Genomic DNA, 14,499 nt, shown 5'->3' with positions numbered 1-14,499 from the left:
AGCAGCAGGGAAGGTTGCGGCCTGGTGTTCTGGGATCCACTGTCTCATCTCATTCTTTTGGGCACCAGAACTTATCCAAAGACAAGACTCAGTGTCTCTGGCAACAGTGGGCCAGAGGAATAATGTGTTTCAGAGGAGGAAGAAGGGGTTGTACCCCGTGGAAACAGCATATAGTTTTACAGTAGTGCATCTGTCTCCAATAACTAGTTAGCGTGTTCCTGTTAATGGGAAATACTGGTGGTGTAAGTTCCCCTGGATGTTCTCATCTTCATGTAAATTTGTTCATTTCCTTCCTTCCTTCCTTCCTTCCCTACTTCTCTCCCTTCCCTACTTCTCTCCCACTCTTTTTCTCTCTCTCTTTATTCTTTCCCTCCCTCCTTCCCTTCTGCCTTCCCTCCCTTCCTTTCTTCCTCCCTTCCTCTCTCCCTCCCTGCCTTCCTCCCTCCCTCCTTTTCTTCCTCCCTCCCTTCCTCCCTCCCTTCCTTCCTTCCTTCCTTCCTTCCTCCTTCCTTCCCTCCCTCCATTCTTTCCTTTCTTCCTTTCTTCTTTTCTTTTTCTTTGTCTCTCATGCTCTCTCTTTTTCTTTCCTTTTTGTTCTACTTTTTAAAAAAGACCACACTGCACTGAAATCTACATTACTTACCAAAACCTCTGGAGCTGCTTCTGTCTTGTAGGCAGGGAGCTCGTCCTGTAGCCCTTAGGTCCTCCCAGCCTCCTCCTCCTCTGATTTGTGGGTGCCACTGGGGCAGCTGCTGAGTCTCAGTGGTTCCTAGTCATCACCAAGTTCTGCCCACCTAGATGGTTTGCACCTGTCCTTACCAGAACCCTGCACTGTCTAGATGACTGAGGCTGCTTCTGCCTAACTGATCTGCTAGCTGTGTTCCGGGGGCACCCCAGGGTTAGAGGTAAATGGCACAGGCATTGAAATCTCCAACTGCTCTGACTCCAGGTTGGTGCACTTCAATGCCAAGTACTAACCACACAATAACAGGATGCCACCAAAACCTTGGTATGGGGCTGCTGCATCCTAATTAAAAAAAAGTAATAGATGTTATTTTTTAGAACAGTTCTAGGTTTACAGAAAAATGGAGTGGATAGTACAGAGAGTTCTCCTAGGCTCCCCTGTCCTCCAGCACACAGTTTCCCCTATTAGTATGTTGTATTAGTGTGGTCCATTCGTTACAATTGATGAACCACTATTGATACATCATTATCAACTAAAGTCCATAGTTTACACTAGAGTTCATTCTTTGAGTTTCACAGATTATGGGTTTTGGCAATTATGTAATGTCCTAAATCCCCAATACAGCATCATGCAAAATAGTTTCACTGCTGAAAATTCCCTGTACTTCACCATTTCGTGCCTCCTCCTCTCCTCCACCCCTGACAACCACTCATCGTTTTACTACTTCTATCTTTTTGACTTTCCAAGAATGTCCTAGAGTTGGAATTACAGTATGTAGGTTTCCAGACTGGCTTCTTTCTAGCATTATGTACTTTAAGTTCCTCCACGTCTTTTCATGACTTGACAGCTTGTTTTGTAAAATCACTGAATCAGATTTCATTGTATGGCTACAACACAGTTTGTTTATTCATTCACTTGGTGAAAGACGTCTTGGGTACTTCCAAGTTTTGACAATTATGATAAAATTGCTGCAAGTACTTATGTGCAGGATTTTGAATGAACTTAAGTTGTCCAAAGTGACTGTACACTTTTGATTTCCACTAGCTATGGAGAGTTCTGGTTGTTCCTCATCTTTGACAGCATTTGGTGTGTTCACCGTTTTGTGTTTTAGCCATTCTGATAGGTTTACAGTGATATCTCGTTGTTTTAATGTGCAATTCCCTCACAACAAATGATTTTGAGCATCTTTCTCATATGCTTATTTGCCATCTGTATATCTTATTAATGAGGTGTTCAGATGTTTCACTTTTTTTTTTTTTTTTTTTTTTTTGCTTTGTGTTGTTTAGTTCTCAGAATTCTTCATATATTTTGGACAGCAGTTTTTCCATCAGATTATTTTGTAAATATTTTCTACCAGTCTGTGACTTGCTTTTTCCATTCTCTTAACAGTGTCTTTCACAGAACAGAAGTTTTTAATTTTAATGAGGCTCAACTTAATTTTTTTTTCATTAGTAGATTGTGCTTTTGGTTTTGTATCTAAGAAGCCATCATTGAACCCAGGATCCCTCAGATTTTCTCCTATGTTATCTCCTAGGATTCTTATGGTTTTGCACCTTACATTTACGTGTAAGATTTATTTTATAAAGGGTATAACATGCATACCTGGATTTATTTATTTTTTTGCATGTGGTTGTCCAGCTGTTCTAGCACCACTAGTTGGAAAGGCTATCTTTGCTGTTTTAAATTGTCTCTAAACCTCCATGGAAGATCAGTGGACTGTATGTAGGCCTGCTTCTGGGCTCCGTATTCTTTTCCATGCATCTATATGTGTGTGTTTTCTCTTTTCACCAACTTCACACTATTTGGGTTACTGTAGCTTAATGTAAGTCCTGAAGTTGGTAGTGCCAAACCTCAGGGAGTTTTTCTGAACTTCATCATGAGAACCTGGTTGAGATCATTGTAGTAACACTTGGAAATGTGTGAGATTCCCCCTTAGTCTGGTCTTCAAGGAGTTTTTAATGTTCTAGCCAGGCTACCCTCAGCTTCTAGTAATCTGTCAGTACCATTTAAGTGCTCCTCCCACTTGCTGTCCCCAGTAGCTTCTCTTCCCTGTGAGCTGTGACTCCTTGTGTGTTAGCCTGTGTTTCTCATTTTTAAGGTGGCAGTTTTCCCTGTGACCTCAATTCTCTGATCCACCCTAGAAGGGTTGACTTTCAGTTTGTTCAGCTTTTTTCTAGCTGTGAGGACAAGTGATGACTGCCTAGCTCTTTCCATGTTGAAATAGAAACCCAAAAGTTTGTTTAAAGAATTACTTGTTATAAAAGTCCCCCATTGTTAATGTACAACTCAATGATGTAAGTTGATTTATCGAATTGTGCAGCCATCAGCAGAGTTCTACTTCAGCATATTTTGTCACTTCCCAAATTCCCTTGAACCTGTTTGTAGTCATTTCCTAATCCCTGGTCCCCATGACTGGGTCTGAATAGAATAAATATTTGGAAAGCAGACTTCATTATATTTATATTTTCCTGTGTTTGGGACTTTATATAGTGGACTATTGTGTTCGTTTTGTGACAAGTAGAGAAGAGATTGCATTCTAGGGATGGTTTTTGGGGGAACATAATAGTAGTCCTGTTTATGGCTCTCCTTGAATTGGTTCATCTGTGCTGGTGACTGGTATTTTTTACCAAACCTTGTCTGGTGAGCACAAGAAAAAGAATTTTTAAAAATCTACTATTAAAATTGAGATGATACATTTTCACATAATAATATTTGAAGTAGTGAACCGTCTTTATTTTATTTTATCTTTTTTTTTGGAGATGGAGTTATTTCTCTTTTCCTTGGGCTCGAATGCAACGGCGCCATCTCAGCTCACTGCAACCTCCACCTCCTGAGTTCAAGTGATTCTCCTGCCTCAGCCTCCTGAATAGCTGGGATTACAGGCGCCTGCTACCACACCTGGCTAATGTTTGTATTTTTGGTAGAGACAGGGATTCTTCATGTTGGCCAGGTTGGTCTCTAACTCTTGACCTCAAGTGATCCACCTGCCTTGGCCTCTCAAAGTGCTAGGATTACAGACATGAGCCACGGCCTGACCTGAACTGTGGGGAAAAGAAAGAGATATCAGATTGTTACTGTGTCTGTGTAGGAAGAAGTAGACATAAGAGACTCCATTTTGTTCTGTACTAAGAAAAATTCTTTTGCCTTGAGACGCTGTTAATCTGTAACCCTACCCCCAACCCTGTGCTCCCTAAGACATGGGCTGTGTCAACTCAGGGTTAAATGGATTAAGGGCTGTTCAGGGTGTGCTTTGTTAAACAAATGCTTGAAGGCAGCATGCTTGTTAAGAGTCATCACCACTCCCTAATCTCAAGTGCCCAGAGACACACTACACTGCGGAAGACTGCAGGGACCTCTGCCTAGGAAAGCCAGGTATTGTCCAAGGTTTCTCCCCATGTGATAGTCTGAAATACAGCCTCGTGGGAAGGGAAAGACCTGACTGTCCCCCAGCCCGACACCCGTAAAGGGTCTGTGCTGAGGAGGATTAGTAAAAGAGGAAGGAAGGCCTCTTTGCAGTTGAGATAAGAGGAAGGCATCTGTCTCCTGCTCATCCCTGGGCAATGGAATGTCTCGGTGTAAAGCCCGATTGTATATCCCATCTACTGAGATAGGAGAAAACTGCCTTAGGACTGGAGGTGGGACATGCTGGCAGCAATACTGCTCTTTAAGGCATTGAGATGTTTCTGTATATGCACATCAAAAGCACAGCACTTTTTTCTTTACCTTGTTTATGATGCAGAGACATTTGTTCACGTGTTTACCTGCTGATCTTCTCTCCACTATTATCCTATTGTCCTGCCACATCCCCCTCTCCGGAAATGCCCGATAATGATCAATAAATACTAAGGGAACTCAGAGGCCAGTGCTGGCATGGGTCCTCCATATGCTGAACGCCGGTCCCCTGGGCCCATTTTTCTTTCTCTGTACTTTGTCTCTGTGTCTCTTTCTTTTCCAAGTCTCTCCTTCCACCTAACGAGAAACGCCCACAGGTGTGGAGGGGCAACCCATCCCTTCACTGAACCATTTTTATTCTTTCAGAAATGTGATTGATAACAGTAAAGCCACACTACTCAAGTGCCTGAAATACCCCTCATTGTCTTCTTCAGGTGGCAAGGGCTCTGGAACAGCCACATAAAGGTGAGGGCAATATTTTTACTGTAGTTCTTTCATTGATTGGTTGATTGATTTTTTTCTCTTAGAGGGTTAGCATACATTTATCTGAAATTGAAATTCAAGAGGAGAGACAGGCACCTGTACTAGTTTTCTCTTGCTGCCTATTATCACATTACCACAAACCAGTGGTTTGAAACCACAGAAGTCTGGAATGAAGTGGCCGGGTTCTCTGATCAGAGTCATGTGAGGCTAAAATCCGGGAATGGGCTGGCTGTGTTTTATTCCTAGAGCTCAAGCTATTTTTCCAGGTTCACTACAGATAATGAAAGAGTTCCTATTCTTGTTTGTGGGGGGCTGAGGGCCCTTTTTCTGTGCTGGCTGTCAGCGGGGAGACACTCTGACTCCAGAGGCCACGTGCTTTCCTCCTTACCTGTCTGTTTCATCTTTCAACCAATAACAACTCATGGAGTCCTTCTCAAGCTCCCACCTTCTCTGACTTCATCTTCTCCAACCAGCCACACAAAGCTCTGTCATGTATGGAGTGATGTGATTAGATCCAGTTCATGCGGTAACCTCACCATCTTAAAGTCATATAACTGGCATATAACAACATAGTCACAGGAATGGTGTCTCATCACCTTAAGAGGCTTTAGAGACAAGGGTGTGGCATGTTTGGGGACCATTTCAGAAATTCCATCTACCACAGTAGGACACTCACATTCCCCCATCTGCAAAGTGCATTTACCCTCTCCCCTGAGGTTTCCAGATTTCATGTCATTAAAGCATTAGTTCAACATGAAAAATGTCATGTAGACCACATCAGATCAAAAGTTTAAAATCCCATCTAAAACATCCACACCAGGTGTGAATGAGGCTTCCGAGAGTGTCCATTAAGTGCAGATCCTTGACATAATTCCCTTACCTCTGTCGACCTGTGAAACTGAACAAACAGCTTATCTGCCCCTAATGTGAAATGATGGGACAGACATAGAATAACAACTACAGTGATTCTAGTTCAAAATGAGGGAACATGGAGGGGATAAAGAAGTCACTAACCCAAAATAGTTTGGAAATGGAGCTGGGCAAAATCCAGCAGGAGTTTCTTAGTTAGGATCCACAGCCTGGGACTGACCCTCTGTCCTGTGGGTCTTTACCTCTGGGCTCTCTGCTCTGCATTTCTTGAAACCATTATTATTTATCATTTTCCTCACACTCTTTTGCGTATGGCTCCTATTGCACTCAAAATGTTTTTGAGATTCATCCATGTTGTTTTGTGTGTCAAAAGTTTGTTCCTTTAGCCATTCCATGGAATGAATGTATCACAGTTTATTGATCCATTCTTGTATTGATAGATATTTGAATGTTTCCAGTTTTTCCTATTATGAATAAAACTGCTATGAACATTCTTGTATAAATCATTTTCTGGACATATGTTTTAATTTCTCTTGGATAAATGCTTAGGAATTAGTGAGTCATAGAATAGGTAGATGTTTAGTTCTGTAAGAATATGCCAGACATTTTTTCCCAAAGTGTTTATACTATTGTACATTCCAACCATTAATGTATGAAGGTGAGAAAGCTTTTGCTACTTCCAAAGAGGCCTCTCTATATACATGTAATTTTTTCTAACTGGAGACAGGCTGATGACTTCAGGGACATGAGCATGGGATACCTGTCATCACCACCACCATAAAGTTGGGATTCAGGAAGGAGGTTAATCATATAAAGAATCCTGTGACCAGTATGAGCTTCTCTCAGGCCACACAGGGCACTCAAGTGAACAGGGCATGGGGGCCCTGGGGTCATGGTAAGAAAGTGTCTCATTGGTAAAACCTTTTCCTCTGGGGAGGTAAATAAATGATTTGTTTCTTCTTGGTAGCCCTTGAAGATAAGGATGGTCAAACAAAATAATATCATACCTGGAGAAACTCAGATCTTGGTAAGATTTACTGGTTGGGAATCCAAAGTTAATGCCAAGAAGCAGCCGCCAGTTGGGATCAAATGTGAGCCTATGGATCAAGGTGCGTACTCAAACACAGAGAGCTTTGTGAAAGATGCTACCAGTAGTTTTTCCAGGGCAGAGATGGGTCCTTTATTTTTCTCTCTAATCTAGCCCATATGCTTAGCTGAGTTTTCTTCGTATCACTTTAAATGATGATGTCCCTTGTTCAACAATTTTCTAAACATTCTTTAGATAATAATTTTATGGGCATTCTTTATTGCATTAGGCTTAAATTTAATGCATCTTAAGGTTTTATTGCAAAATATTGCCTTGTTTCCTTTTTAAGATGATACAGTTTATAATATGCAAATTTGTTGTCTGTCCCCTCCCTTTATGTACATAGAAAATGAGCAAACAGGTGGCCATGAAACAGATAGTCATAGAATTGGTTCAGTGGTTGTGAGTGCAGCAACCCAAGAGTGTCTTATCTGAAATACCACCAGGAATGTCTGGACACAGTAGACAAAGGTTTTTCAACTGGACGCCTTAGGATACATGCTTCCAAAAACAAAGTAGCCAAAAAGAAACCAGAGTCACAGAATATCAGAGCCAGAGGAACATTTGGAGGTAATTCAGTACCTCCTCCTTTTCAACCTACAGGGGAGATAGTGGAAGAGAAGCAGGGATGGGTCTGCCTTCTGTGCCCACAATTCATTGGAGATTGTTGTGGTGAAGAATTTCTTTTATGATAAAGGAGAAATAAACTCCCATCAGCTTTAATTCAGGCAGGTTTATTGAAAAGGTGAAGAAGCGTCTTGCAGAAGCAAAGCATGGCTAAGGCTTGTGGGCTCTGTCTGGACAAATGAGCAGCCGACAGTGGCTGATGCTGCCCCTGACTCTGGAGCCGTGCGGTCTGTGGTTCTCTGTGAGCATCTCTTCTATTCTCTTGCACCTTCCCTCAGCCTGGCAGTCTCTGTGTACTCTTCAACCCATAATTGAGCGAGGCTGTACCAGCCCCAATGCCATGTAGCACTTTATTTCAAATTAGAAAGGCATGAAATAAACTAGCCCTTTATAATACAACTGTTGGAACAACAGTTGAAAATAACAATATCTTGACTCCTGGTTGAGTGCTTTACGCTGAGCTTTCTTTTCTGAATATGAGCACAGACTTGGGGATATTAGTGTCACCTGGCATTATTAGCTAGTATTCTCCTTTTGTTTCCCCATAACATCCCCTCCTCCTTCCCACAGATCCACTCTCCACTCATTTCCATCCTGTCTTATGCCACTTGGGGCTTGTCCCTTCTAGAATGCATCCCTGGCTCCCCTGTGTGCACACTTGTAGTTAGGTTTAGCATTGGGGGCACCCGATGGAGCCTGGAAGTGAGAGGAAGGTGAGGTCCGTATTTCTTCCCTCTCCCTCCCTGCTCTGGCACTGAGTATCTGGCAATAGCTGCATCTGTCTATTACTTCAGTGGCCACTCTTCCACAGCCCCAATTCTCAGTGGGTCCCATAGCATTATTTACCTTTGTTCCTTTAGCTCCCATCAAGGAAGACCCAGAGGCATTCTCCTCACCAAGGCATTAAGAAATGCATGGGTGAGGGGAACAGCGGCGTGCGTGTAAAGGTCCTGTGGCACCTCTCCTCTGCAGGCTGGAGGTCATGGCGGGAGATGCTGCATGGATTTGTCCTCCCTGCTGTCAGAACAACAGGGTTCTGGAAGAGTAGAGGACAGGCCGTGGGACTTGGCTGTCTAGAGACAAGGCGGGAGGGATTTCCTTGAGAGGCAGGGACATGTGGTGGTTACTAATCATTGTGAGGTGTCTGGGATGTAATGGATGGGAAATCTACTAAGAAGTCAACTTATGTAATAATTAGAAAAGCTCTAGTTCTGAGGACAGAGACCTGTTGGAGTCACCATAGTGGGAATTTTTGACCTGGCATCCAGTTCAGATACCTGGAGCTTCTTGACTGAGGGGAGATTGGATCCCTTGGGGAAGAGTGAAGCCTTCAATGCTGCCACAAGTGTGATCCGCCCGCCTCAGCCTCCCAAAGTGCTGGGATTACAGGCGTGAGCCACCATGCCCGGCCTCTTTTTTATATTTAAAAAATATCATTTTATATATTATCAGGGCAAAAGAGAAAAACCGTATGATTACCTTGTCATACACAGTAAAAGCATTTGGCAAAATTGAAAACTTTTTTCATGATTTATAAAAACAAACCCCAGAAAATGCTCAGCATGATGAGAACAGAAGGCAACACTTCCAACCCCATTAAGGGCAGATTTGAAGAACCCACAGGTAACATTATATTAAATGGCATAAGATTGAATGCTTTTCTATTAAATCAGAGAAAAAAGTAGAATACCTGTTGTTACTCTTTTAATTCAGCATTATACTAGAGCTCTAAATCAATGCAATAAAGTAAGAAAAATTAATAAAGTATTGAAAAGAAAGAATTGAAGCTGTCTTTATTCACAGATAATGACTGTGTTTGTTAACAATGCTAGAAATCTACAAAAATCTACCAGAACTAATCAGTGAGTTTAGTAGTGTTGCAGAATGTAAGCTCTCAATATAAGTGGTCTTTTGTATTTCTGTATATTAGCAATGAGCATTTGGAAAATGAAATAAGAATACAATTTCATTTAAAGTAACATCTAAATACATGTTGTGCTTATAAATAAATTCAACAGACTGGGCACCGTGGCTCACACCTGTAATCTCAGCACTTTGGGAGGCCGAGGTGGGCAGATCATGAGGTCAGGAGATGGAGACCATCATGCCTAACAGTGAAACCCCATCTCTACTAAAAATACAAAAAATTAGCTAGGCATGGTGGCATGTGCCTGTAGTCCAGCTACTTGGGAGGCTGAGGCAGGAGGATCACTTGAACCTGGGAGGCAGAGGTTGCAGTGAGCCGAGATCGCATCACTGCACTCCAGCCTGGGTAACAGAGCAAGACTCTGTTTCAAAAAAAAAAAAAAAAAAAAAGGAAAGTCAACAAAATTTATGTAAGGCCAGTACACCAAAAACTACAAAAAATTGCTTTGAGAAATTATGAAAGAACTAAATTAGTGGGGAGATAAACCTTGTCATGGATCAGAAGAGTTGTTATGTTTAAAAAGTCAGTTCTTCGTAAATTGATCTCCAGATCCAATGCAATTCTAATAATAATTCCAAGCGGCATTTTGGTAGAAATTTACAAGCTGATTCTACCATTTATATGGTAATGTCAATGATCAAGAATAATAAAATAGCAATATTATAAAAGAATAATGGCGAATGAATTCACTACCTATTTCCAGAATTACTCTACAGCTATGAAAATCAAGATTATGTGTTTTGTTGAAAAAAAAAATGGAATATATATCAGTGGAAGAGAGAATCCAGAAATAGATACTCACATGTATGTCTAATTGATTCTTAGGACATATATATATGTATACACACACACACACAAACGTGTGTGTGTGTGTGTGTGTGTGTGTGTATATATATATATATATATATATTCACCGTTTTGAAGATTATCATCTCCAAATAGGGAATATATATATATATATATATATATATACATATACAGACACACACAAACACACACACACACATACATATTGCAGTCTGATAAGATAAACAGCACATTGAAACAATTTCTCAAAAGACTTGAATAGATACTTCAGAAAAGAAGATACATGAATGGTCAGTTAGCATAGGAAAAGATGCTCCACTGTTTAGTCATCAGGGAGATCAATCAGTGCAACAATGAGATACCAGTACATATCCATAAGAATGGCTAAAATTAAAAAGGCTGAAAATAGCACCTGTTGGTGAGGATATAAAGCACTTGGAAGTCTTATACTTGTAGGAATGAAAAATGGTATGGCTCCTTTGAAAATCTAACAGTTTCTTAAAGGTTAAACATAACACAAATCAGATAGACAGTCATTCCCTTCCTAGGAATTTACACACTGTGTCTGCACAATGATCTGTATGTGTGTTTCCAGACCAACCTGAGGGGCGGGCTGCTATTTCTCGTGGCTCAGTAACAAGACACAGATGAACTGGGGAGGAAGAGAGTTTTGACTTCTGCAACTGGTTACAGGGAAACGGCCTGGAAATTATCACCAGACCAACTCAAAATTGGAAAGTTTTCCTGAGCTAATGTACCTTCTAAGCTATATGTGTATGTGGAAGTGTGCATTCATCTAAATACATAAGTGATTAACTTCTTTTAATCTATAACTAAGTCTGAGTCCTGAAGACCTTCCTCTGGAACCTCAGTTAAATTCAGTTAATCTAAATGGGTCTAGGTGCTGGGGGCCCTTATCTTGTCTCCTGCTAAATCACAGAGGTTTGGAGAGTCCCTTCAGATCTCCAATAAACTTGTTTGTGGAGGCCTGGGGAGTTTCTTCAGACCCCCAGTAAAACTTATTTAATACTAAATGGCTCCTGTTAAGAATGCCTTCGTTATTTCGTCATGCTTTAAGGCCCAGGAAAAACCTAGGCAAAACTCTTGGTGGGCTTTTGTTACATTCCAGCCTTTGTATAAGGGCACTGGCTTCTTTTTTTTTTTTTCCTCTTAATATTTAATTGAACCACTCAGTCGGTACTGAAACAGTTGTTACGGAGGCCTGTGTTAGTGAGACCTGGCCTGCCACGTATGGATGTTCATGATAGTTTCTTCATAATAGCCCAAACGCGGAATGATAGAAATGTCCAATAACAAGTGAAAGTACAAACATACATGGTATAGCCACACGAAGGAATACTACTCAGTATTTACAAGACATTACAGATGGATTTTAAAATTACATTGATGCATGAAAGAAGGCAACACAAAAGAACACAGGTATCATTTCATTTATAGAAAATGGTTAAAAATGCAAACGGACCTGAAGTGACAGTGGCTCCTTGGGGCTGAGGGTTGAAAGGCTGATGAACTGCAAAGGGGTACAAGAAACTTTGGGGCATAGGGAATTTCCTCTATCTTGGTTGTGGCAGTAGTTCCGTTAGTGTATCCATTTGTAAACGTGCATTGAATTACACATTTTAAAGTGGTGCAGTCTGTTGTACCGAAATTATGCCTTTATAAAGTTGATTTCATCATCTTAATTTCTCCATACTAGCAATTAGCAGCTAGAAAATGAAATTCAATAAAACATAATAGAGATTAATAGCCAGAATCATTACATGCTTAACAATACATGCAATGAAGCAGGTACAAGGCCCCTAAAAGCAATTGGTGAGAAAAATTAAAGAAGGCTAAATAAATATATATCATGTTCATTGATTGGAAGACTCAATTTTGTTAGCATATTACATCAACACAATTCTGATTAATATTTCTAGTAGGAGATTTTAGAGAAATTTGAAAGCTAGTTTCAAAATGTATTTGAAAATCAAAGAACCTAGAATAAGCAAGTCGGTCTTGAAGAAGCAATAAGTTGGAGGACTTACTCTGCTAGATTTCAAACCTGATTTTAAAGCTACAGTAATTTTAAAACAGTAGTAATGGTGTAAGTATTCATAAATATATCAAAGTAAAAGAATACAGATTCAAACAATATGCCCACATATGTACAGTTATTGATTTTTTTTTAGTAGAATCTTTTTTATTCATAAAAAATCCATCAAAACAAAAAAGTTTTCCAGCCACACACAGGAGGGGTATGGGTGGGGGAAGGTGTCTGTCCATCTATCCCTGGCCCCCAGCCCATGTGGTTTTGGCAGCAATAAGGTGTGTGGGGTAATGACCCCTGAAATTAAAATGGTGTGTGTATGTGAAGGAAAGGCGGGCAAAGCTATGGGGAGCGGTGGAGTGGAAGGAACAAAGGAGGTCAGTACTGGGAACGCTGAAGGTGGGAGGCCATTTCATAACATTACTTGTTGATGAAATTGCCATGAATACCTTCTTTGCCCATCAGCAGGCCTAGCGTCTTGGCAGTCATGGTGACAATGACGTTGAAGGTGGGGACTCCACCGATGCTCTTCATATGAAGATCCACGGTCAATTCCCCATCCTGCAGCAGTGAGTCCAGGACCACAGTATATTTCTGGCCCCCCAGTGTCAGTCCATTCATGACAAAGTTTGACCAGTCTTTGCCAACCAGGACACCAACCTCAGCTGGCGTGATGTTGAGGAAGGTTTTCCCTGGGATGGCGGCCCAGATGGAAGGTGGGTCCTTGTTGCCAACAATGGCCGTGTCCTAACAGGTCCCGTCCGCCACGAGGCTGTAGATGGAGGTGTCCACCTGGCCGTTGCGTTGCTGCAGGGGCTCCTCTGGTCGCTGCTGTTGGGGCCGCCTGGGCTGGCGGGTGGGGGAGGCGGAGAGCTCGATGCAGGTGCTGTCCTCCTCGCCACGACTCTGCTAGCTGTGCAGTAGCCCTCGCTCCGCCACTTAAAAAAGAAAAAAATATATATATATAATATATATACACACGTGTTATATATATTGTATAATATATATACATGTATACATGTATATATGTGTATATATATATACATGGCACACGTGTATATATATATAATATATACACGTGTATATATATATATAATATATACACGTGTATATATATTAATAATGGCCTACATCTATATTAATAATATATATTATTAATATATATATTATATATATTAATAATATATATACACGTGTATATATATTATATATATATATATATACACGTGTATATATATTATATATATATATATACACGTGTATATATATTATATATATATATACACGTGTGCCATGTTTGTTTGCTGCACCCATTAACTCGTCACTTACATTAGGTATATATCCTAATGCTATCCCTCCCCCAGCCCTCACCCCATGACAGGCCCTGGTGTGTGATGTTCCCCGCCCTGTGTCCAAGTGTTCTCATTGTTCAGTTCCCACCCATGAGTGAGAACATGCTCGCACCGCCGCTTCTAAATGTTTTAAAAACAAAGACACCAATGCCCTTCATTGGGGAAATGAAAGACTTTTAAGTAAAACAATTTTGAGTGAAATAATATTTGTTGTTTTAAAAAGTTAATATTAACCACTCTCCATCATATATTGAAATTAACTTAAGATGTGAAAGTTAAATTAGAAACCTTGTAAAGGAAAAATAGGAAATAGTTTCATGAACTTGACACAGGAAAATATTTCTTAGACTAGATACTGTAGCACTCACCACAATAAGAAATCAAGCGAATTGCACTTCATTTTTAAAAAGCTTCTCCTTATTATGTTGTTGTTTAACAACTTAAACGCTATCTCTAGACCAGGAATAATTATTTGCTATATAATACAGCAAAAAATATGTATGTATAAATGGACTCATTCAAAATATATAAAGAACTCCTATTACAAAGAAATTGACAAACAGCCCAGTATATCAATGAATATAAAAATTTGAGAAGATATTTTCCATAAGAAGATATCTAAATGAACATTAGGCATGAGAAAACCAAATTTTAGGATATCACTACACACCTGGTGTAGTTTAAAAGACTGAAAATATTAAGTGTGTGGGAATGTAGAGCAACTGAAAATGGCCTACATCTTTCATAGAAATGTAAAACAATACAAATACTTTGCAAAACTCTGTCCAACATTTTCTACCCATTCACCAAGCAACTCCATCCCTAGCTATAGATACCCAGGAAAATAAGTATGTATCTTCACAGAAATAATTGTATGAGAATATTCATAGTTACTTATGCACAGTAGTTACCAAGTAAACCTGTCTCCCATCAGAAAAA

At 40.3% G+C, this 14,499-nt stretch overlaps 1 protein-coding gene and 1 pseudogene across 55 annotated transcripts in view, besides 1 other annotated feature; one reads left to right on the top strand and one right to left on the bottom strand.

Annotated features, from left to right (window-relative positions):
• The window catches only part of NBPF15 (NBPF member 15), a 40,280-nt gene that overhangs the window by 6,076 nt on the left and 19,705 nt on the right, over positions 1 to 14,499 (top strand). For 11 of the 55 annotated variants that reach the window (NM_001385377.1, NM_001385374.1, NM_001385438.1 and 8 more), the window contains 2 exons: positions 4,792 to 4,822; positions 6,678 to 6,819. The exons of 12 other annotated variants lie outside the window; for them this stretch is intronic. The gene's annotated coding sequence lies outside the window, so the exon portion shown is untranslated. Of the gene's footprint in view, positions 1 to 3,444; positions 3,636 to 4,723; positions 4,823 to 6,677; positions 12,925 to 14,499 lie in introns of all 55 variants that reach the window. 32 more of the 55 variants (NM_001385416.1, NM_001385439.1, NM_001385403.1 and 29 more) reach the window with 13 other exon arrangements.
• Positions 3,606 to 4,106: an enhancer, noted in NCBI's record as "OCT4-NANOG-H3K27ac hESC enhancer chr1:148565664-148566164 (GRCh37/hg19 assembly coordinates)". NCBI's record gives its function as "activates a minimal SCP1, AML or CMV promoter by ChIP-STARR-seq in primed H9 embryonic stem cells {active_cell/tissue: H9 hESC(primed)}" and the evidence as "EXISTENCE:reporter gene assay evidence [ECO:0000049][PMID:30033119]".
• On the bottom strand, positions 12,344 to 13,125 carry PFN1P6 (profilin 1 pseudogene 6; annotated as a pseudogene).

This window comes from Homo sapiens, chromosome 1 (genome assembly GCF_000001405.40).
Source record: "Homo sapiens chromosome 1, GRCh38.p14 Primary Assembly".
Taxonomy (NCBI): Eukaryota; Metazoa; Chordata; class Mammalia; order Primates; family Hominidae; genus Homo; species Homo sapiens.
Note: the sequence above shows the minus strand (reverse complement) of the source record. Positions and strands in the feature narration are given on the sequence as shown.